A 17,965-nucleotide genomic window follows, 5' to 3' on the forward strand; every position below is an offset into this window, starting at 1 on the left:
CGGCCGCAGCGGCGCCGGCAGAGGAGCCGCCGAGCCCAGCACAGCTGCCCTCTGGACCCTGCGGACCCCAGCCGAGCCCCTTCCTGAGTTCCACAGGCGCAGCCCCCGGGCGGTCGGGCGGAGGGGTCCCCGGGGCGGTGCCAGGGCGCAATCCTGGAGGGCGGCCGGGAGGAGGAGGTGCGCGCGGCCATGCACACCGTGGCTACGTCCGGACCCAACGCGTCCTGGGGGGCACCGGCCAACGCCTCCGGCTGCCCGGGCTGTGGCGCCAACGCCTCGGACGGCCCAGTCCCTTCGCCGCGGGCCGTGGACGCCTGGCTCGTGCCGCTCTTCTTCGCGGCGCTGATGCTGCTGGGCCTGGTGGGGAACTCGCTGGTCATCTACGTCATCTGCCGCCACAAGCCGATGCGGACCGTGACCAACTTCTACATCGGTGAGTGCGGGCGCTGCGCCGCACCTGCTGCCGTCCCGGGGGCTCCGAGGGCCGAGCGGCCTGGGGCGCCCTCTCGCGACGCATCGGGGCCCTCTCGGACCCGGCTCTGTCCCCTGCAGGGGTCCCCCCCAACCTCGAATCTTTTCCCTGTGGTCCCTGCACCTGAGGCTAGAGGTCGCAAACTCCAGCGCGGGCGGGCCCGGGCGGGCCGGAGGGTGGGGAGTGTGGCACATGGAAACCTCGACCTGGCCACTCGCGGGGCTCGCCCCGGTGCAGCGCGGGCCAACGGCTCGGTGTCAGCTGAACAAAGGGCTGGGGGAGGGGCTGGCTTGGCCCGCGGGCCTTAGTTTGCGACCCCTGCCCCGGTGGCTCTCTGAGCCTGTTTATGCATTTGTGTCCTGGGGTCCCCTATCACACACAGCTGTGAGCCCAGTCGGTGGCTGCTGGGCCGGCACCATTGTCTCCAGTTTGCAGTTGTGGAAACTGAGGCTCAGAGGGTCAGGGGCCTGCTTAGGCTCCCCCAGCCCGGACAGGGCCCAGCAGAACCGATTTCTGCCGGAATGGCCAGGAAATCCGAGCCGGAGGCGTAATGTTTGAGATGTAAGGGGGAATTACTAGAAGGCGCCCCAACTTCTCCGCCCGAGGAGGCCAGGGGCGCTGGGGGAGGGGGGGGCCTCCCTGAGCCATCCTGCTGGTCACTCGGACCAAGGTGGGGGCCAGGGGTCAGGGCCAGGAGCGCTGGGCGGTTCCCGCGGCCAGTGGCGCCCACGCCCAGCGCCCGCGCATCCCCACCGCAGCCAACCTGGCGGCCACGGACGTGACCTTCCTCCTGTGCTGCGTCCCCTTCACGGCCCTGCTGTACCCGCTGCCCGGCTGGGTGCTGGGCGACTTCATGTGCAAGTTCGTCAACTACATCCAGCAGGTGCGCTCCGGAGCAGGAGGGGAGAGGGCGCACTTGGGGACGGGCGGGGGTGCGCTCCGCAGTGGGAGGGGAGGGGACGCACTTGGGGACAGGCGGGAGTGCGCTCCGCAGTGGGAGGGGAGGGGATCGTACGTGGGGACGGGGAGGGGGGGTGCGCTGCGGAGCAGGAGGGGAGGGAGCGCACGTGGGGACGGAGGGAGATGCACTCAGAAGCTGGAGGGGAGGGGGCGCATGGTGGGGCGGGGCAGGGGTGCACTCTGGAGCAGGAGGGGAGGAGGCGCACGTGGGGACGAGGAGAGGGGATGAGCTCCGGAGCGGGGGGCGGGCGCATGTGGGGAGGGGGAGCCCACGTGGGAAGGGAGGACGGACCTTGGGCGGGGCGCGAGGCAACGCATAGGAGAACCAGGGGCTGGGGTGCCCAGCTTGCGGGAAGGGGCTGGGCGGTGGTGCAGCCTAGAACTGGAGTGGGGGGCGGGAATGGGGGAGGGATGCAGACGGGGACCCGGGTCACTGGTGAGGAAGGGCTACTGAGGCCCTGAGGCTTCTTGCCCCGCCTGTCCCTCCATCCCACGCAGCCCCCCTGTCTCAGACTCGGGGTATCAGCCGCCCCCCAAGGGCTCCCTCACTTCCCCAATCCTCCTGCCCTCCTCTCCCAGTCTCCCCACCTTCTGTCCCCTCAACCCGCACTGGACACTCCTCCCAGGACACTTCCCGTGTATGTGCCTGAGTGTTCGCACACGTAGGGGGATCAGCAGGGCGGGCGGACAGGGCAGGCTCCCAACCGCGCAGGTGGCCACACGCCCGGCTGGCGGCTCCCGCAGGTCTCGGTGCAGGCCACGTGTGCCACTCTGACCGCCATGAGTGTGGACCGCTGGTACGTGACGGTGTTCCCGTTGCGCGCCCTGCACCGCCGCACGCCCCGCCTGGCGCTGGCTGTCAGCCTCAGCATCTGGGTAGGTGAGTACAGCTCAGGGGCCTCACGGGAGAAGGCGGACACGTCCTAGTGCCCTGGGCGCCCGGAGCCACCTGCCGCCTCGGTCCAGCATCTGGAAAATGGGCGCAATAGCTCTGCCTGCCTAGGGCCAGCGAGGCTGCAGACGGGGCGCCCGGGCCTTTGCAGGGTGGCTGGGTGAACGCCTCCCGGGGAGGCACGTGGGGGACCGCTGGTTCCCCGAGCGGGGTCTTCATCCTGGCTTGTGGCACAGGCTCTGCGGCGGTGTCTGCGCCGGTGCTCGCCCTGCACCGCCTGTCACCCGGGCCGCGCGCCTACTGCAGTGAGGCCTTCCCCAGCCGCGCCCTGGAGCGCGCCTTCGCACTGTACAACCTGCTGGCGCTGTACCTGCTGCCGCTGCTCGCCACCTGCGCCTGCTATGCGGCCATGCTGCGCCACCTGGGCCGGGTCGCCGTGCGCCCCGCGCCCGCCGATAGCGCCCTGCAGGTGCGCGGCGTGGGTGGGAGGACAGCAAGGCTGGGCGGGCGGGGAGGCACCGTGGTGGGAGGCGCCGGTGGGGGCATCTGCGCGGGCAGGGACAGCCCAAGGGGTCCAGGAGGGGCGGTGCGAGGGGATGAGCTGAGCCGGGCCCCAGCCTTTCGTCTAACCACCTTCACGGCACCCCCCCAGGGGCAGGTGCTGGCAGAGCGCGCAGGCGCCGTGCGGGCCAAGGTCTCGCGGCTGGTGGCGGCCGTGGTCCTGCTCTTCGCCGCCTGCTGGGGCCCCATCCAGCTGTTCCTGGTGCTGCAGGCGCTGGGCCCCGCGGGCTCCTGGCACCCACGCAGCTACGCCGCCTACGCGCTTAAGACCTGGGCTCACTGCATGTCCTACAGCAACTCCGCGCTGAACCCGCTGCTCTACGCCTTCCTGGGCTCGCACTTCCGACAGGCCTTCCGCCGCGTCTGCCCCTGCGCGCCGCGCCGCCCCCGCCGCCCCCGCCGGCCCGGACCCTCGGACCCCGCAGCCCCACACGCGGAGCTGCTCCGCCTGGGGTCCCACCCGGCCCCCGCCAGGGCGCAGAAGCCAGGGAGCAGTGGGCTGGCCGCGCGCGGGCTGTGCGTCCTGGGGGAGGACAACGCCCCTCTCTGAGCGGACCCGGTGGGAATCCGAGCGGCTCCCTCGGGAGCGGGGACTGCTGGAACAGCGGCTATTCTTCTGTTATTAGTATTTTTCTTACTGTCCAAGATCAACTGTGGAAATATTTTGGTCTCTTGTGACGTTCGGTGCAGTTTCGTTGTGAAGTTTGCTATTGATATTGAAATTATGACTTCTGTGTTTCCTGAAATTAAACATGTGTCAACACAGGACTTTCTGGATCATTCCAGAAAGTGTCAGACGTTTTCTCATTGTCTTGTAGTTGACTGTCACTGTGTACGATTCATTCCACTTTTTTTTTTTTTTTTTTTTTTGAGACAGTGTCTCATTCTGTCACCCAGACTGGAGTGCAGTGACGCGATCTCCGCTGACTGCAACCTCTGCCTCCCGGGTTCAAGTGATTCTCCTGCCTCAGCCTCCCGAGTAGCTGGGATTACAGGCGCCCGCCACCACGCCCGGCTAATTTTTGTATTTTAATAGAGACGGGGTTTCTCCATGTTGGCCAGGCTGGTCTCGATTTTCCTGACCTTAAGTGATCCCCATGCCTCTGTCTCCCAAAGTGCTGGGATTACGGGCGTGAGCCACCGCGCCCGGGGCCTCATCCCACTTTTAGAGAGACTAAAATGTGAAAACAGACAGTGCAAATGCCCATCAATCAACGAGCAGATAAAGAAAATGTGGCGCGCGCGCACACACACACACACACACACACACACACAGAGAAGACTACTACTCAGCCATAAAGAGTAATGAAATGGCATTCACACAACCTGGCCGGAGTTGGAGACCACTACTCTAAGAAACTGGAATGGGAAACCAAACATCCTATGTTCTCAGCCTCCTGCCTCAGCCTTCCGAGTAGCTGGGACTACAGGCGCCCGCCATCACGCCCGGCTACTTTTTTGTACATTTAGTAGAGACGGGGTTTCACCATGTTAGCCAGGATGGTCTCGATCTCCTGACCTCGTGATCGCCCGCCTCGGCCTCCCAAAGTGCTGGGATGACAGGCCGTGAGCAAAACTCATTTTCAGGTGAGACGGCGCCACCTAGCGGCCGCCGGCGCTGGCCCCGCCCCTAAGAGCCCGCCCCCCCTCCCCTCCCGCCGGCCGCAGTCCCGCAGGTGCCCGGCAGATGGCACGCGCGGCCCGCGGAGGTTTCGCGCCTTCTTTTCTCGCCTCCAGAAGTCCCAGAGGTGCCCCGTGCCCAGGGCGCGGTGTCGCTCCTTCGGATCCCAACCTGGACCCCCGGTTGGAGGTATCCCCGCTGTGAAGTGGGGCAATCAGAGGCACATTGTGAATTATCCCGGTCTTAGGCACTTTACTTTTGAGGGCCCCTTCTATGAAAACGTTATTCAAAATGGTAATTTATTCTACAATATTCACCGTCAAAGAAAAAAAGAAGAAAAAGATACTTTATTCTGCTTCATGTCCTGGAAGAGGGGTAAAAATGATATTTTATATCTGCGTCAGTATAAAGAGAGATATAACAGGCTGGATTCATTATATATGATTTTTTTTTTTTTTTTTTTTGAGATGGAGTTTTGTTCTTGTTGTCCAGGCTGGAGTGCAGTGGCGCGATCTTGGCTCACTGCAACCTCCGCTTCCCAGGTTCAAGGGATTCTCCTGCCTCAGCCTCCCAAGTAGCTAGGACTACAAGCCTATGCCACCACACCAGGCTAATTTTTGTATTTTTACTAGAGACAGGATTTCGCCATGTTGGCCAGGCTGATCTCAAACTCCCAGCCTCACGTGATCTGCTGACCTCCACCTCCCGAGGTGCTGGGATTACAGACGTGAGCCACTGTATTTTATTTTTTGAGACAGTCTTGCTCTGTGGCCCAGACTAGAGTGCAGTGGTGTGATCATGGCTCACTGCAGCCTCGACCTCCTGGGCTCAAGCAATCCTCTTGCCTCGGCCTCCCGAGTAGCTGGGACTACAGGTGTGTGCCACCACAATTGGCTAATTTTTGTATTTTTTGTAGAGATGGGGTCTTGTTACGTTGCCCAGGCTAGTCTCAAACTCCGGGGCTCAAGAGATCCTCCTTTCTCAGCTTCCCAAAGTGCTAGGATTACAGTCTTGAGCCACGGTGGTCAGCCTTAATTTTTTTATTTTATAAATTTTTTGTGGAGACAGGGTCTATGCCCAGGCTCATCTTGAATACCTAGCCTTAGGCCATCCTCCCGCCTAAGCCTCCCAAAGTCTGGGATTACAGGCGTGAGCCACTGTGCTGAGCTCTCTTCTTTTTTTTTTTTTTTTTTTTGAGACAGAGTCTCCTTCTGTCTCCCAGGCTGGTGTGCAGTGGTGTGATCTTGGCTCATTGCAACCTCCGCCTCCCAGGTTCAAGCTATTCTCCTGCCTCAGCCTCCCGAGTAGCTGGGATTACAGATGCCTGCCACCATGTCCGGCTAATTGTTTTGTATTTTTAATAGAGGCGGGGTTTCACCATGTTGGCCAGGCTGGTTTCGAACTCCTGACCTCAAGTGATCCACCTGCCTTGGCCTCCCAAAGTGCTGGGATTACAGGTGTGAGCCACCAGGCCCAGCCCTAGTTTGGGCTTTTTAACCTGCAGAGCTGTGGGAGCGGGATCTGGGGGGTTTTATGAGGATGTCCCCTACCTGAGTGCAGAGTAGAGAACCGGTCCAGTGACCAGCAGGGTTGGGGGAGGATCACGCTGTTTTTGTGTGGGGGAGGTTCCCAAAGCCCCAGGCGCCCCCAGGAGATGGTCTGGCTGGGAAACCTTCAGAGCTAGGGCTGCTGTGCCCCCAGGAGATGGTCTGGCTGGGAAACCTTCAGAGCTGGGGCTGCTGTGCCCCCGGTAGATGGTCTGGTTAGGAAATGTTTAAAGCTGGGGCTGCTGTGCCCAATGCACAGCTTGAGAAAGAGACTGGGAGAGGTCTGTACTGATCTAAATCCACACTGCTGCCTACCCCTGCGGGGCATGAGGGCATCTGGAATATGGTGGAGCCAGCTAGTCTGCGTAGACATTCCCGGCTCCCTCTCTGGGCTAAAAATAGGAGCCCCCTCACTGCAGGCAGCTGCCATCCTGCATCCCCTCACCCCCCTGCGCGGCCCCTTTGGGGGAAGCTGCAGCCAGCTACCCGGATCACAGCTTCCTCCTGGGAAACGGGTAGGGGCTCTACCCTTCCTGCCCTGGGGGTAATTATGCCCCCACCCTGTGCCCTTCCCTTTGAACAAAGGGCAGCCTAATCCAGAACAGGATGGTGAAAGGGTTGAATTAACATTGGCCCATTTTATAGAGGGATAAACTGAGGCACAGACAGGCCCATGCACCTGCCCTCCAGGTGCCTTTCGGGTCTGCTGGCCTCCAGGTGCTCCATCGTAGGTGGGAGGGACTTCCTGCACCTTCAGACCTGAGCTGGGTCCTGGCCCGAGAAGGGGGTACTCCCACACCCCTTTATCCCGCTGCAGGGAGCGTCTCTCCAAAGCACCCCCAACCTGGGGCAGGTGTCTCAGGCCTCTCCATCGGAGATAGGGGTGGCAGCTGGGTTTGGTGTTTAATATAGCCTTATGGTGGAGGCCTCTCAGACACCTGCCGCCATTAGGTTACACGTGGCCCTGGGGCTGGAAGGCTGGATTCAGGCCTTGTTGTCGGGGGCAGCTCTCCTGCCGGCAGTTTTTTGTTTTGTTTTGTTTTTGAGGTGGAGTCTCACTGTGTCACCCAGGCTGGAGTGCAGTGGCGCGATCTCGGCTCACTGCGACTTCCACCTCCCGGATTCAAGCGATTCTCCTACCTCAGCCTCCCAAGTAGCTGGGACTACAGGCGCGCGCCACCATGCCCGGCTGATTTCTGTATTTTTAGTACAGATGGGGTTTCACCTTGTTGGCCAGGCTGGTCTCGAACTCCTGACCTCTGATGATCCGCCCACCTCCGCCTCCCAAGGTGTTAAGATGACAGGCGTGAGCCACCGCGCCGGCCCCGGTTGCAGTTTTGTGGAGGGAGGAGGTGCAACTAGGTGGAAGGACAGAGAGAAAGTTGCAATGCCGTGTGCTAGTCTAGGGAAAGGGGAGGGAGACGACTACAACCCCGCCCCCAACACTCAGGACCGGGGACCCGAGCCCGCCAGAGACCCTCCACAAGTGAGGGTCCCCCGGGGTGGCCCCTGCCCGCCCTCCAGGCTCCCCTGGGGCTCACGTCCGGGCTGGAGCCTGGGCCTCTGCGCTTAGCCCCCTGGGGTCGCTTCCCGCGCACACAGCTCCCTGCAGAGCACGCGTCCCCCTCCCGACCGCCTTCCTTGCACCCCGCTCGGTGCCTCAGTTTCCTGCTCTGCGCAGTGGCGACAAGAAGGTTGCCAACTACAGAGAGGAGTGAGGGCTGGAGACGTGCAGGGACCTCCCTGGAGGGAGGCGCGGGGCACGTGGTTGGGCAAGCGACCGCTCAGACCGTGTAAGTCATCACCACCTTCACGGGGGGGTGGTGGGCAGCCGAGCTCCCGACGCTGGTGACAGCCGGGCCGGGCAGGGTCGTCCTGGTTTCACAAAGGGGCTCCGGGTCCCAGCGCGCACCTCCCCACGCCCGCGCCGAGCCCCCGTCTGCAGCCCGTCCCTCCCCAGAGGGAGGCCGGCGGGACCCTGGTTCCCTCCCTCCGACGCCGCCCGCCCAGCTCTGCACCGGGTCTTTCAAGCCCATTTCTCAGACTTGGAAACGGCGGCTCCGGAGAGTGAAGTCACTCTCTCAGGGTCTCTCCGTCTAAGGGGCGAAGGTGAAACTCCGAGTCCACGAGGCCCAGCGTAGGTGCTCCGTAAGAAGGGAAGAGACTTGGTCCCGGATCTGGCTCCGATGCCTCCGGCCAGCCCGCCCAGGCGGAGCCCCAGTCAGTCCCCTCTTCTTCCCCCGGGGCGCTCCCGCCCCAGCCCCTGCCCCCGGCACCCTCTGCGCTTGGGGCCGCGTCGCGCACTTTGCCCACCGTCCCTAGGCCGGGGGCGGGGCCTCCCGCGGCGCTGTTCCCCTTCCCGTTTATTATTTATTATCCTTTAAAGGGGCCGCGACCTGAAAATTTCCGTCCACTCTGCCCGGCTCCCCAGCGCCCCCGGGCTGGTTGCGCGTCGTCAGACCGCGGGAGGGGGGCGAGGGGGCGTGCGGGGAAAAGTGGGGAGCCCTGGCGAGGCCCTCCCGCGCCCGGGCCGCGGCGCTGAATCACCGGCCAGGTATTTGCATCCGAGAGCGACTCGTCCCCTGGTGATTTGTCTGGGGGTGGGGGAGGGGCGGGGCGGGGGCCGGCCGCGCGCGGGGCGCCTCTTACCAATCGGGCGGAGGGGTGTAGACGCGGACGCGGCTGGCGGCTCGGTGAGTCGGCGCGCGGCACAGCCCCGTGGGTCGGGGGCCGGGAGCCAGCGGCGCGCACCGGCGGCTGGAAGCCAGGCGGGCCCGGGCAGGCCGACCCCAGGCGCGGGGCGCGCGCCCCACTACGAGCCGCCCTGCGCGGTAAGGCTGGGGAGCGCGCTGGCCGTTCCCAGCGCGGGTTCCGGTGCCGGGGTGGGCGCAGTGCGTCCTGGAAGCCAAAGAAGGGGGTCCCCAAAGTTGGGCGGAGATGTTGGTGGGGGTCCCGGACTGGGAAGGCGGCCCTGGCGGGCTGGGGTTCGGGGAGTTTTCTCTGCACCCCGCTTGGAGACTTCACTCCCCACTGGATCAATCGCTCAGGGGCGAGCAGGGGCGATCGGGGGTCGCGAGTGCGCGCCCCCCCCTCCCCAGCGGAAGGAAATGGTCTCTGCGCGCGCGCGGGGGGCTGCACCCCGATATTTTATTTCATTTTTATTCTTTCTCCCCGAAATCAGGGATTTATTCGGGAGCCCAGAGAGGAGGGAGGGTAGTTCCCGGCGAGCCTCCCCAGCCGGGCTGGTTTATTTATAAAGTGTCCGCCCCAGCGCAGAGAGGGGCCCCCGGGGGAGACACCGCGGCCCCCGGGCGCCGGGGTGGGTTGGGCCCGGGCGCCCGGTTCCTCGGCGGGGATACCCAGGAAGAGCCCCCTGACCCGTTTCAGGGCCCCCCAGACACAAAAGCGGGCGCAGGAAGCGCTGGGAGCGCGCGTTTGTCAACTCCAACGCTCGGCGCCGGCCCCGGGCGGCGGGTTCAATTATCTTCCGTTTTTAGGCGCTCGGGCTGGAGGGGTTCCCCCCCCCATGCAAATCGGCCGCTTTCCAAGAAGCCTTTGAAATCCGGACCAGGGTTTCTGTCTTCTTATTTCTTCTCCTTCTTGAGTTTTTTTCTCACTTCCTCCAGGCCCCCCCAACCCAGGACTTTCTTAGCCCCCTCCCCAGCTTTCTGCCCCGCCCCTCCCCCTCCTCTTCCCTTCGTGGAGTGAGGGGCCCCTTTCGCCACCCGCGGGCCCGGGGCCTTGCACAACTCTTTAAATAACCATGTTTTGCAAGGCCCGCGCCGAGCGGGTGACCTCTCTCCGGAGGCCTGGGGGGAGGAGGGTGTGGCCCAGGATCCCTCCGCCCCCCACCCCTGCCTGGTCCAACGACCACCCAGCGCCCCGTCCCAGCCTCTCCCTTGGGGCTGTCATAAAATGGGGGTGGGGGTCGAGGACAAAGGGCTCTTGGGGGGAGGGGTCTGAAGGGGGTGGGCGTAGCTAGTTTAGGGTTATGGCGGCGATGGGGGGGCACCCAGCCCTGACCTAGGGGGGAATCTGGGATCCCCACCTGCCCCCTCCACCGGCCCCAACGTGGAGGTCTGTCCTGCTCCCCTCCCCCACCCGGCGACCCGGAAGGGTCATTAAACCCAGCAGGGCTCGGAGCGGGCTGGTGGGGGGAGTGGCTTCCTTTGGCCTCTTCCTTCTGTGCCCCCAAAGAGGGGGGGCTTTGCTTGGAGCTCTTCCGTGGGGGGGGCCTTGTCTTGAAGTTGTCCCAGGTGGGGGAGGGGCGACAGACCCGACCAGACCCTGAGTCAGAAATGCCCCCTCAGCACTTTCTTGGGTTGGGTGGGTGGGGGGTGACCTCCAGCCTGGGGATGGGGGGCTGGGTGCCGCCCTGGTGGCCTCCGGACCGCCAGGCTCTCCTGGTCACAACCCAGCGCTATGGCCCTGAGGTCTTTGTGACCTGGGACCTCTGTCCCCACAACAGATGGAACAGAGGCTATTTTGGAACATGCCCTCCTCGCTTTCTCCCAGGGGCCACCCACCTGCCCCCCACTGCCTTTTCACCCATGGGGCCGAAAGACTCAGGGGTCTGGGTAAAGGGTGTCTAGGGCAGAGGGGCCACAGGACTCTCTTGTCCGGTGACTGGGGAGGCTTGGGGGTGTCTGCTGTGCAACACTGACCTGGGTGGGGTCGGGTCACAGGAGGGATCTGAGTCCCAGGGGTCCCTGCCTCCTCGTCTCTCCAGGCCTTGTCTGCCCAGGAGCTGTGTATGAGTCTTGGGGGCTCCTTTGCCAGGGTAAGGGTTGGGGGTGGCCTCCTGGGCCCAGCTGCCTCTCGGGAGGGTGGAGCTTTGCCCCCTCCGCTGTCCCCATGATGTGCCTTCCCTCTGGGGTGTCACTCCAGGCCTGTTGGGTTCTGCCCGGCCTGTTTTATTGGCGGCCTGGGCGGGTGGAGGTGTGGCCTGGGCTAGGGGGTGGCTCGGGTGGGACCCAGGCCCCAGGAGTCTCTGTTCTTCACCCAGGCCATTAGGACTGGCCCTGGGTGGAAGGCACTCTAGGCTGGGTGAGTGTGTTGCCGTCCGAGACATCTGGCCCACTCGGGATCCCAGAGGACCGGGAAACTCCAGACCCCTGTTGCCCTGCAGAGATTGTGGGGTCTGCGTGGGAGGCTCTGTGGTCACCCAGACCTGGGTTCAAATCCCACCGCCATGTCTCCAAGCAGAGGATCCCTGAGCCTCAGTTGTCCTCAACCATGAAATGGGACCGCCCTGGTGCCCCCTTCTCTGACACCTGTTGGTGCCCACCTTAACCTCCTGAACTCGATTCATCCCTCCTTGAGTGCCATGGGTTGGGGGGGTACTGTTACCCACACTGTTTTGCAGGTAGGGAACCTGAGGTCCAGAGAAGTTGTGGCTTGGGCGTTGCTGTTGAGTTGTGTGATGGGGGGAGGGTTAGCCCAGGGCCCGTATACAACAGGCGCTCAATCTCCAGTCTGGCCTGAGATGGGAGGATACCTAGATACCTGGAGGCCAGGCTGGGCCGCTCCAACAGGGACTCAGGCAGCGACTGGAACTTAGAACCCACCTGACTGGGGCCCGGAGCCCGCTGGCCAATCACAGGCCAGGAACGCCCATTCCCCCACCCTGCTTGTGAAGCAATAATCCAAGATCTCCTGGGGCAGACAGTCTGGCCACAGCGTGTTTCTCTGTGGCCCCGTGCGGGGCGACCTTGCTACCCAGGCCCACAGTAGGCTGTATGCGAAGAGCCTGCGCCTCTGCCTCCAAGAAGGCCTCCAGGTCTGCATCCTGCATGAGATGGACATGAGAGCTGATCCCCAGGGCCTTCATGGGGAAGGAAGGAGGGGGCTTGAGGAGCTCAGGCCTGCTCTGACTGTGCCTTTTTTCCCCCTCAGGTTTCTGCAAATGCGTGAATGAGCCGGATGCCAGCCTCTGTCCCCTGGAGCCCAGCGTGAGGAAGAGGCATGCCCCATCAGCCTTCAGCTTGAGCCCGGCGGCCCCCGCCCCCGCCCCCTGCCACCCTGCACTGCCCCGGCTCCCCCGCGGCCCCCACGCTGCAGTGCGGCCGGGCCCCCTCCCCGCAGGGGCCGCCCCCGCCGCCCACCCCTAGCGCCCGTGGTGGTGGTGGTGGTGGTGGTGGTGGTGGCCCGGGCCGCAGGGCCATGAAACTACAGGCCGTGATGGAGACGCTGTTGCAGCGGCAGCAGCGGGCGCGCCAGGAGCTGGAGGCCCGGCAGCAGCTGCCCCCCGATCCCCCTGCTGCACCCCCCGGCCGGGCCCGGGCTGCCCCCGACGAGGACAGAGAGCCCGAGAGTGCCCGGATGCAGCGGGCTCAGATGGCCGCACTGGCAGCCATGCGGGCTGCAGCTGCGGGCCTGGGACACCCAGCCAGCCCCGGCGGCTCTGAGGATGGGCCCCCAGGCTCGGAGGAGGAGGACGCGGCCCGGGAGGGGACACCGGGCTCACCCGGGCGAGGCAGAGAAGGGCCAGGAGAGGAGCACTTTGAGGACATGGCCTCCGACGAGGACATGTGAGTTGGGGTCTGGGGCAGGGCCTTCTGGGGGCTGTTACTGGCTCTGAGTGTCACTCTGCTCATCTGCAGAATGGGAGTAAGGGTCAGGTCGCGGGATCTCCTTCCTGTAATTCCAGCAGTTTGAGAGGCCGACGTGGGAGGATCACGTGGGCCCAGGGGTTGGAGACCAGCCTGGGCAACATAGCAAGACCCCATCTCCGCAAAAAATTAAAAAATTAGCCAGGCATGGTGGTGCACCTGTGGTCCCAGCTACTGGGGAGGCTGAGGCAGGAGGATCCCTTGAGAACAGAAGTTGAGTTGTGATTGTGCCACTGCACTCCAGCCTGGATGACAGAGATAGACCCAGTCTCAAAAGAAAAATGGTTTTTTTAGCCGGGTGCTGTGGCTTACGCCCGTAATCCCAGCACTTTGGGAGGTCGAGGTGGGTGGATCACCTGAGGTCAGGAGCTCAAGACCAGCCCGGCCAACATGGCGAAACCCCATCTCTACTAAAAATACAAAAATTAGCCAGGCGTGGTGGCAGAAGCCTGTAAACCCAGCTACTCGGGAGGCTGAGGCAGGAGAATGGCTTGAACCTGGGAGGTGAAGATTGCAGTGAGCCAAGAATGTGGGTTTTTTTTTTTTTTTTAGACAGAGTCTTGCTCTTTTCGCCCAGGCTGGAGTGCAGTGGCGTGATCTCAGCTCACTGCAACCTCCTCCTCCCGGGTTCACACCATTCTCCTGCCTCAGCCTCCCGAGTAGTTGGGACTACAGGCGCCCGCCACCACGCCTGGCTAACTTTTTGTATTTTTAGTAGAGACGGGGTTTCACCATGTTAGCCAAGATGGTCTCGATCTCCTGACCTCATGATCTGCCTGCCTTGGCCTCCCAAAGTGCTGGGATTACAGGCGTGAGCCACCACACCCGGCCAACTTTGTTTCATCTTAGTTAACTTAAAGCAACCTAGCCACCGATGGCTACAGCAGATTCAGCGGCAGGGGCAGATAAAATCTGCAGCCGGCTGGACCTGCATAGCGTGTGGGTCCCCCCAGGGCTGGCTGAGGGCTCACTTGCTGTGGGATCCTGGCCTCCAGGAACCCGCATCTTCCTGGGAGGACCTGAGCAAGCAAAGATGCTGGGCGCAGTGGCTCACGCCTGTAATCCCAGCACTTTGGGAGGCCGAGGTGGGAGGATTGCTTGAGCCCAGGAGTTCAAGACCAGCCTGGGCAACCTAGTGAGGCCCCATTTCTACAAAAAGTACAAAAATTAGTCGGGTGTTGTGGCATGCATCTGTGGTCCCAGCTACTCGAGAGGCCGAGGCGGAAGGACTGCTTGAGCTCAGGAGGTCAAGACTGCACTGAGCTGTGATCACACCACTGCACTCCAGCCTGGGCAACAGAGAAGACCCTGTCTCAAAAAACAAAACTGGCCGGGTGCAGTGGCTCATGCCTGTAATCCCAGCTACTCAGGAGGCTGAGGAGGAGAATCGCTTGAACCTGGGAGGCAGAGGTTGCAGTGAGCCGAGATCGTGCCTTTGCACTCCAGCCTGGGCAACAAAGTGAGACTGTGTCTCAAAAAAAAAAAAAAAACAACCAAACAAAACCTAGCAGCAAAGAAGCAGGTGATATCAGGTTGTACAAACAGCTGCCAATGGCTGGGCGTGGTGGCTCACGCCTGTAATCCCAGCACTTTGGGAGGCCGAGGTGGGCGGATCACGAGGTCAGGAGATCGAGACCATCCTGGCTCACACGGTGAAACCCCGTCTCCACTAAAAATACAAAAAAATTAGCCAGGCGTGGTGGCGGGCGCCTGTAGTCCCAGCTACTTGGGAGGCTGAGGCAGGAGAATGGCATGAACCCGGGAGGCGGAGCTTGCAGTGAGCCGAGATTGCGCCGTTGCACTCCAGCCTGGACGACAGAGCGAGACTCCCTCTCAAAAAAAAGACAAAAAAAAAAAAACGGCTGCCAAGAAAGTCTAGGAGGGTGCCGTGGAGGGGCAGTGGCGAGGGTGGGGCGGATTTCAGATGGCGGTGGGAGAATTCTCCCTGTGGAGGGAAGGGGAGGTGGAGCTGGGACAGCATGCATGGTGCAGGATGCAGGAACCAGCCTGCCGTAATGATTCCCTTTTTTTTTTTCCCAAGAGAGTCTTGCTCTGTGGCCCAGGCTGGAGTGCAGTGGTGCCATCATAGCTCACTACAGCCTCCATCTCCTGGGCTCAAGGGATCCTCCCGCCTTGGCCTCCCAGAGTGCTGCCGGGATTATAGGTGTGCGCCACCGTGGCTGCCTGCGTGATGCTTTTCAAGGCCCCAAAATTCACGCTGTAGGGACGGCTTGTGCTGTTCTGGGCTAATTGGAAACAAAGTGGGCGTCACGGGTGCCCCACGCTGTGCTCATGAGCGCTCTCTGCAGTCTGAGCTGGCGGCGGCCGGCTCTTCCTATTTCCAGAGAGGGAAACTGAGGCTGGGCGGGGAGTGGGTCTTTCCTTGGGCTGGGACGAGCCAGCACCTTCTCCCCTGACTCCTGCCCTCTGCTCACCCCAGGAAGCCCAAATGGGAGGAGGAGGAGATGGAGGAAGACCTCGGGGAGGATGAGGAGGAGGAGGAGGAGGATTACGAGGATGAGGAGGAGGAGGAGGACGAGGAGGGGCTGGGCCCCCCAGGCCCTGCCAGCTTGGGCACCACGGCACTGTTCCCCCGAAAGGCCCAGCCACCCCAGGCCTTCCGCGGCGATGGCGTTCCCAGGGTGCTGGGGGGCCAGGAGCGGCCGGGGCCTGGCCCTGCCCACCCCGGAGGGGCCGCCCACGTAGCCCCGCAGCTGCAGCCGCCTGACCACGGCGACTGGACTTACGAGGAGCAGTTTAAGCAGGTGAGTGGGCGCGTCCCGCGTGGCGGCTGAGGCACCTGCTCCTGGGCCAGTGGGGCCCTTTGAAGGCCCACGTTGCACGGGGTGTGTGCTGAGCCGGGCGTCGAGTTGAGAGCTGGGGGTTCCTGCGGTAGCTGTGCTTCCTGTGCTTCCCTCCTGGGCGTGGGCTCGACCAGCTGGCTGTTCATTGCTCTGATGTGGGATGTGTGAGGAGCACCCGGCCGGGTAGGAGAAACCTGGGGGGCTCCACGGCCCCCATATCGGAGGTGATGGGGCAGAGATGGAAAGGTGGGCCTGGGAGGGAGAGGCTGGCGCCGGCCCGAGCTGGGCTTGGGTTGGAGGAACCAGGCCTGCGGGCGATGCGGGCAGAGAGGCCGGGGCCTTGGTGACGTGGTGACTTGGCCTCCTCTGTCCCCTGGCATCTGTGGAGAGCCGTGGGGGGTTGCGGGCTGCAGCTGGCAGCCGAGGGGATGTGGGGGTGGCTCAGGTGTGGCTGCAGGAGACGCAGGAGCCAGGGCCTGTGAGGCTCCGAGTGGGCGGTTAAGGCTGGGGCCGGCAGGGGGTCTCAGGGACCCCAGGCTGAAGGAGGAAGTAGGGGCCGCCCCAGCCTTTCCCCGCAGGCGGCCAGGCCAGAGGAAGTGGCCGGGCGGGGGATGCTTTGAAGTTGGGCCGTGCTGGGCCGGGCAGATGGAAACCAGATGGTGGCCAGGCTCACATTCCAGCCCTCGTCCAGCTGGGCTCTGCCTCGACCTCTGGGCGCGGCTGGGGGGAGCCACCTCCTCGCCCGGGGCTGGAGCTGGTCTGGGCTCCCGCAGGGAGGTGGATGATGGACACGCTGGGACATGCCTGCCTCGGGGCAGCCCCTTCGGCCCTGGGCTTCCAGAATCCGCTCTGAGGAGCCTCCTAGGAGGGGCCAAGGCACAGACACCCAGGGGGGCCTCCCCGGGGCTCCTGACTCCAGGGGTGCCGGGTAGCTTAAGGGGCGGCCCTAACCCCAGCAGCCCTCAAGAGACTTAAGGTTGGGCTGCCTGGAAACTCACAAATAGTAAAGAGCTGAAAGCCGGACACGGTGTGGGAGAATGGCCAGGGCAGCGGCGGGGACTCGGTGGGGGGGGGGGGCGTCTCGCTGATTCCACCCTGCTCTGTGACTCAGTTTCCCACTCCTGCAGAAGGGGATGCTCCACGGGCCACACTGCCGCGCGTCCCATTCTGCCAGTGAGAAAACAGAGGCTCAGTGTTGGGAGGAGGGGTCTTGTGATCTTTTCTGGGTTTAAGATGATACGGATGAGCATGCTGAGAGTGGATTCTCTTTAATTTCATTAATTTAATTCACCAATTAATTTAACATTCACCCAATATTCGCCATCTGCCCGGGACTCAGCCCGCAGGGAGCCCTGGGCTGGAGGGGCGGGCAGGAGCCGGACGGAGACCTCCATCCCCGCAGGGTTATAGCCAAGCCGAGAGGGAGGGTCAAGGCCCCCCATTCAGTCGGTCCTTCGGGGGTCAGAGGTGAATGGGACCCCCTGACCCTGGACACACGCCCCGCCCAGACAGCCCCGGCCTCCAAGGCCCAAAGCCGATGGGGGAGTTTTGGGGTGACTGGCCCAGACCAGGCAGGGATGAGGGGCCAGGCGCCCTGACCCCACAGCCCGCAGCATGTCCTGAGCGAAGGCAGGAGGCAGAAGCCACTGTCTACCTTGTCTGGGCGACACCGCGGGTCAGGGTTGTAGGTGCCATGTGGGGTTTTTCTGCAGCGGGAAGCCGAGATGGGGAAACTGAGGCCAGTGCAGGGAGGGGGGTCACTGTGTCACCGGCAGCCTCAGGTATTCCTGGAGATCCTGCCGCCCCGCACCTGCCCCCTGGGTGTACCGGGCAGTGCAGAGGCCCTGAGGTGGACTAAAGCTCGGCTTGTGTGTAGGGACCGGGTGCCGCCTCTGGGTCTTGCGGGAGACGGGATTGGAACTCCGAGAAGATGAGGGCCTAGGGATGGTCGTGGGCAGCGGGGGTGGGGGGAGGCCCCCGCCCTGCAGTCCTGTGACTTTTTTTTCTCTAGAGAAGGGCTTTCACGGTGTTGCCCAGGTTGGTCTCAAACTCCTGGGCTCAAGTGATCTGCCTCACTCAGCTTCCCAAAGTGCTGGGATTACAGGCCTGAGCCACGGTGCCCAGCCAGTCCTGGGATCTTATCCTGGGCTGTTCGTGGCAGGTCCAGCCGCCGATGCCGCCGCCCGCCCAGCTGGCCAGACACCTGTGTTCCCAGTGTCAACAGTGGCCTGGGCCCAACCAGCCCAGTCAGTGTTACCTCCCGCCCGGCCCCTACTGGGGCCCCTGTTGACTCTGGCGCCTGCCCCACCCCCTTCCTGGCACGTGGCAGGCCTGGCCCGCTGGCCGGCCGCTTGGCACCGTCTCTGCCTCTTCCTCCCAGGTCCTGGCAGGGCTCGGGGCTAACTTCCGCCTGCAAATCCTCGACAGCTGTGAAATTCTGCTGTCGGCTGCAGGTCTGGTGGGTGGCCAGGCCGCGGCGGGGGGCCGGGCGCAGCAG

At 63.4% G+C, this 17,965-nt stretch overlaps 2 protein-coding genes across 7 annotated transcripts in view, besides 18 other annotated features; both read left to right on the forward strand.

The window, feature by feature from the left end:
* Window positions 20-3,692, forward strand: KISS1R (KISS1 receptor). 2 transcript variants are annotated; one of them, NM_032551.5, is made up of 5 exons: window positions 20-433; window positions 1,231-1,355; window positions 2,177-2,312; window positions 2,561-2,793; window positions 2,977-3,692. In NM_032551.5, exons 1-5 carry the CDS (start codon window positions 190-192, stop codon window positions 3,433-3,435), a joined length of 1,197 nt encoding a protein of 398 aa, NP_115940.2. In that variant the 5' UTR covers window positions 20-189; the 3' UTR covers window positions 3,436-3,692. The 2 variants fall into 2 exon arrangements, with proteins under 2 accessions (NP_115940.2, XP_047295501.1); XM_047439545.1 differs by having other exon boundaries at window positions 2,561-3,692.
* Window positions 401-600: a silencer, noted in NCBI's record as "silent region_9630". NCBI's record gives its function as "represses an Ori minimal core promoter by ATAC-STARR-seq in GM12878 lymphoblastoid cells {active_cell/tissue: GM12878}" and the evidence as "EXISTENCE:reporter gene assay evidence [ECO:0000049][PMID:35858748]".
* Window positions 1,594-2,534: an enhancer, noted in NCBI's record as "H3K27ac-H3K4me1 hESC enhancer chr19:918907-919847 (GRCh37/hg19 assembly coordinates)". NCBI's record gives its function as "activates a minimal SCP1, AML or CMV promoter by ChIP-STARR-seq in naive H9 embryonic stem cells {active_cell/tissue: H9 hESC(naive)}" and the evidence as "EXISTENCE:reporter gene assay evidence [ECO:0000049][PMID:30033119]".
* Window positions 2,535-3,474: an enhancer, noted in NCBI's record as "H3K27ac-H3K4me1 hESC enhancer chr19:919848-920787 (GRCh37/hg19 assembly coordinates)". NCBI's record gives its function as "activates a minimal SCP1, AML or CMV promoter by ChIP-STARR-seq in naive H9 embryonic stem cells {active_cell/tissue: H9 hESC(naive)}" and the evidence as "EXISTENCE:reporter gene assay evidence [ECO:0000049][PMID:30033119]".
* Window positions 2,606-2,995: a silencer, noted in NCBI's record as "silent region_9631". NCBI's record gives its function as "represses an Ori minimal core promoter by ATAC-STARR-seq in GM12878 lymphoblastoid cells {active_cell/tissue: GM12878}" and the evidence as "EXISTENCE:reporter gene assay evidence [ECO:0000049][PMID:35858748]".
* Window positions 3,226-3,295: a silencer, noted in NCBI's record as "silent region_9632". NCBI's record gives its function as "represses an Ori minimal core promoter by ATAC-STARR-seq in GM12878 lymphoblastoid cells {active_cell/tissue: GM12878}" and the evidence as "EXISTENCE:reporter gene assay evidence [ECO:0000049][PMID:35858748]".
* Window positions 4,522-4,601: a silencer, noted in NCBI's record as "silent region_9633". NCBI's record gives its function as "represses an Ori minimal core promoter by ATAC-STARR-seq in GM12878 lymphoblastoid cells {active_cell/tissue: GM12878}" and the evidence as "EXISTENCE:reporter gene assay evidence [ECO:0000049][PMID:35858748]".
* Window positions 7,582-7,671: a silencer, noted in NCBI's record as "silent region_9634". NCBI's record gives its function as "represses an Ori minimal core promoter by ATAC-STARR-seq in GM12878 lymphoblastoid cells {active_cell/tissue: GM12878}" and the evidence as "EXISTENCE:reporter gene assay evidence [ECO:0000049][PMID:35858748]".
* Window positions 7,762-8,691: a silencer, noted in NCBI's record as "silent region_9635". NCBI's record gives its function as "represses an Ori minimal core promoter by ATAC-STARR-seq in GM12878 lymphoblastoid cells {active_cell/tissue: GM12878}" and the evidence as "EXISTENCE:reporter gene assay evidence [ECO:0000049][PMID:35858748]".
* Window positions 8,419-17,965, forward strand: part of ARID3A (AT-rich interaction domain 3A) — a 50,208-nt gene continuing 40,661 nt past the window's right edge. For 2 of the 5 annotated variants that reach the window (XM_005259513.6, XM_047438380.1), the window contains exons 1-3: window positions 11,701-11,832; window positions 11,949-12,583; window positions 15,105-15,429. In XM_005259513.6, coding sequence (XP_005259570.1) covers window positions 12,216-12,583; window positions 15,105-15,429 — 693 coding nt within the window. In that variant the 5' untranslated portion in view covers window positions 11,701-11,832; window positions 11,949-12,215. Of the gene's footprint in view, window positions 8,608-8,721; window positions 8,885-11,700; window positions 11,833-11,948; window positions 12,584-15,104; window positions 15,430-17,965 lie in introns of those variants that run through there. The other 3 variants (XM_017026445.2, XM_005259514.5, NM_005224.3) reach the window with 3 other exon arrangements.
* Window positions 8,782-8,851: a silencer, noted in NCBI's record as "silent region_9636". NCBI's record gives its function as "represses an Ori minimal core promoter by ATAC-STARR-seq in GM12878 lymphoblastoid cells {active_cell/tissue: GM12878}" and the evidence as "EXISTENCE:reporter gene assay evidence [ECO:0000049][PMID:35858748]".
* Window positions 8,896-9,656: an enhancer, noted in NCBI's record as "H3K27ac hESC enhancer chr19:926209-926969 (GRCh37/hg19 assembly coordinates)". NCBI's record gives its function as "activates a minimal SCP1, AML or CMV promoter by ChIP-STARR-seq in primed H9 embryonic stem cells {active_cell/tissue: H9 hESC(primed)}" and the evidence as "EXISTENCE:reporter gene assay evidence [ECO:0000049][PMID:30033119]".
* Window positions 8,896-9,691: a biological region, named in NCBI's record as "H3K27ac hESC enhancer GRCh37_chr19:926209-926969".
* Window positions 9,272-9,511: a silencer, noted in NCBI's record as "silent region_9637". NCBI's record gives its function as "represses an Ori minimal core promoter by ATAC-STARR-seq in GM12878 lymphoblastoid cells {active_cell/tissue: GM12878}" and the evidence as "EXISTENCE:reporter gene assay evidence [ECO:0000049][PMID:35858748]".
* Window positions 9,499-9,691: a silencer, noted in NCBI's record as "fragment chr19:926812-927004 (GRCh37/hg19 assembly coordinates)". NCBI's record gives its function as "represses an EF-1alpha promoter that drives an FKBP-Casp9 reporter gene in an ReSE screen in K562 erythroleukemia cells {active_cell/tissue: K562}" and the evidence as "EXISTENCE:reporter gene assay evidence [ECO:0000049][PMID:32094911]".
* Window positions 15,113-15,644: an enhancer, noted in NCBI's record as "H3K27ac-H3K4me1 hESC enhancer chr19:932426-932957 (GRCh37/hg19 assembly coordinates)". NCBI's record gives its function as "activates a minimal SCP1, AML or CMV promoter by ChIP-STARR-seq in primed H9 embryonic stem cells {active_cell/tissue: H9 hESC(primed)}" and the evidence as "EXISTENCE:reporter gene assay evidence [ECO:0000049][PMID:30033119]".
* Window positions 15,287-15,346: a silencer, noted in NCBI's record as "silent region_9638". NCBI's record gives its function as "represses an Ori minimal core promoter by ATAC-STARR-seq in GM12878 lymphoblastoid cells {active_cell/tissue: GM12878}" and the evidence as "EXISTENCE:reporter gene assay evidence [ECO:0000049][PMID:35858748]".
* Window positions 15,645-16,175: an enhancer, noted in NCBI's record as "H3K27ac-H3K4me1 hESC enhancer chr19:932958-933488 (GRCh37/hg19 assembly coordinates)". NCBI's record gives its function as "activates a minimal SCP1, AML or CMV promoter by ChIP-STARR-seq in primed H9 embryonic stem cells {active_cell/tissue: H9 hESC(primed)}" and the evidence as "EXISTENCE:reporter gene assay evidence [ECO:0000049][PMID:30033119]".
* Window positions 15,877-15,926: a silencer, noted in NCBI's record as "silent region_9639". NCBI's record gives its function as "represses an Ori minimal core promoter by ATAC-STARR-seq in GM12878 lymphoblastoid cells {active_cell/tissue: GM12878}" and the evidence as "EXISTENCE:reporter gene assay evidence [ECO:0000049][PMID:35858748]".
* Window positions 17,239-17,769: an enhancer, noted in NCBI's record as "H3K27ac-H3K4me1 hESC enhancer chr19:934552-935082 (GRCh37/hg19 assembly coordinates)". NCBI's record gives its function as "activates a minimal SCP1, AML or CMV promoter by ChIP-STARR-seq in naive H9 embryonic stem cells {active_cell/tissue: H9 hESC(naive)}" and the evidence as "EXISTENCE:reporter gene assay evidence [ECO:0000049][PMID:30033119]".

Source organism: Homo sapiens, chromosome 19, assembly GCF_000001405.40.
Source record: "Homo sapiens chromosome 19, GRCh38.p14 Primary Assembly".
Classification (NCBI taxonomy): domain Eukaryota; kingdom Metazoa; phylum Chordata; class Mammalia; order Primates; family Hominidae; genus Homo; species Homo sapiens.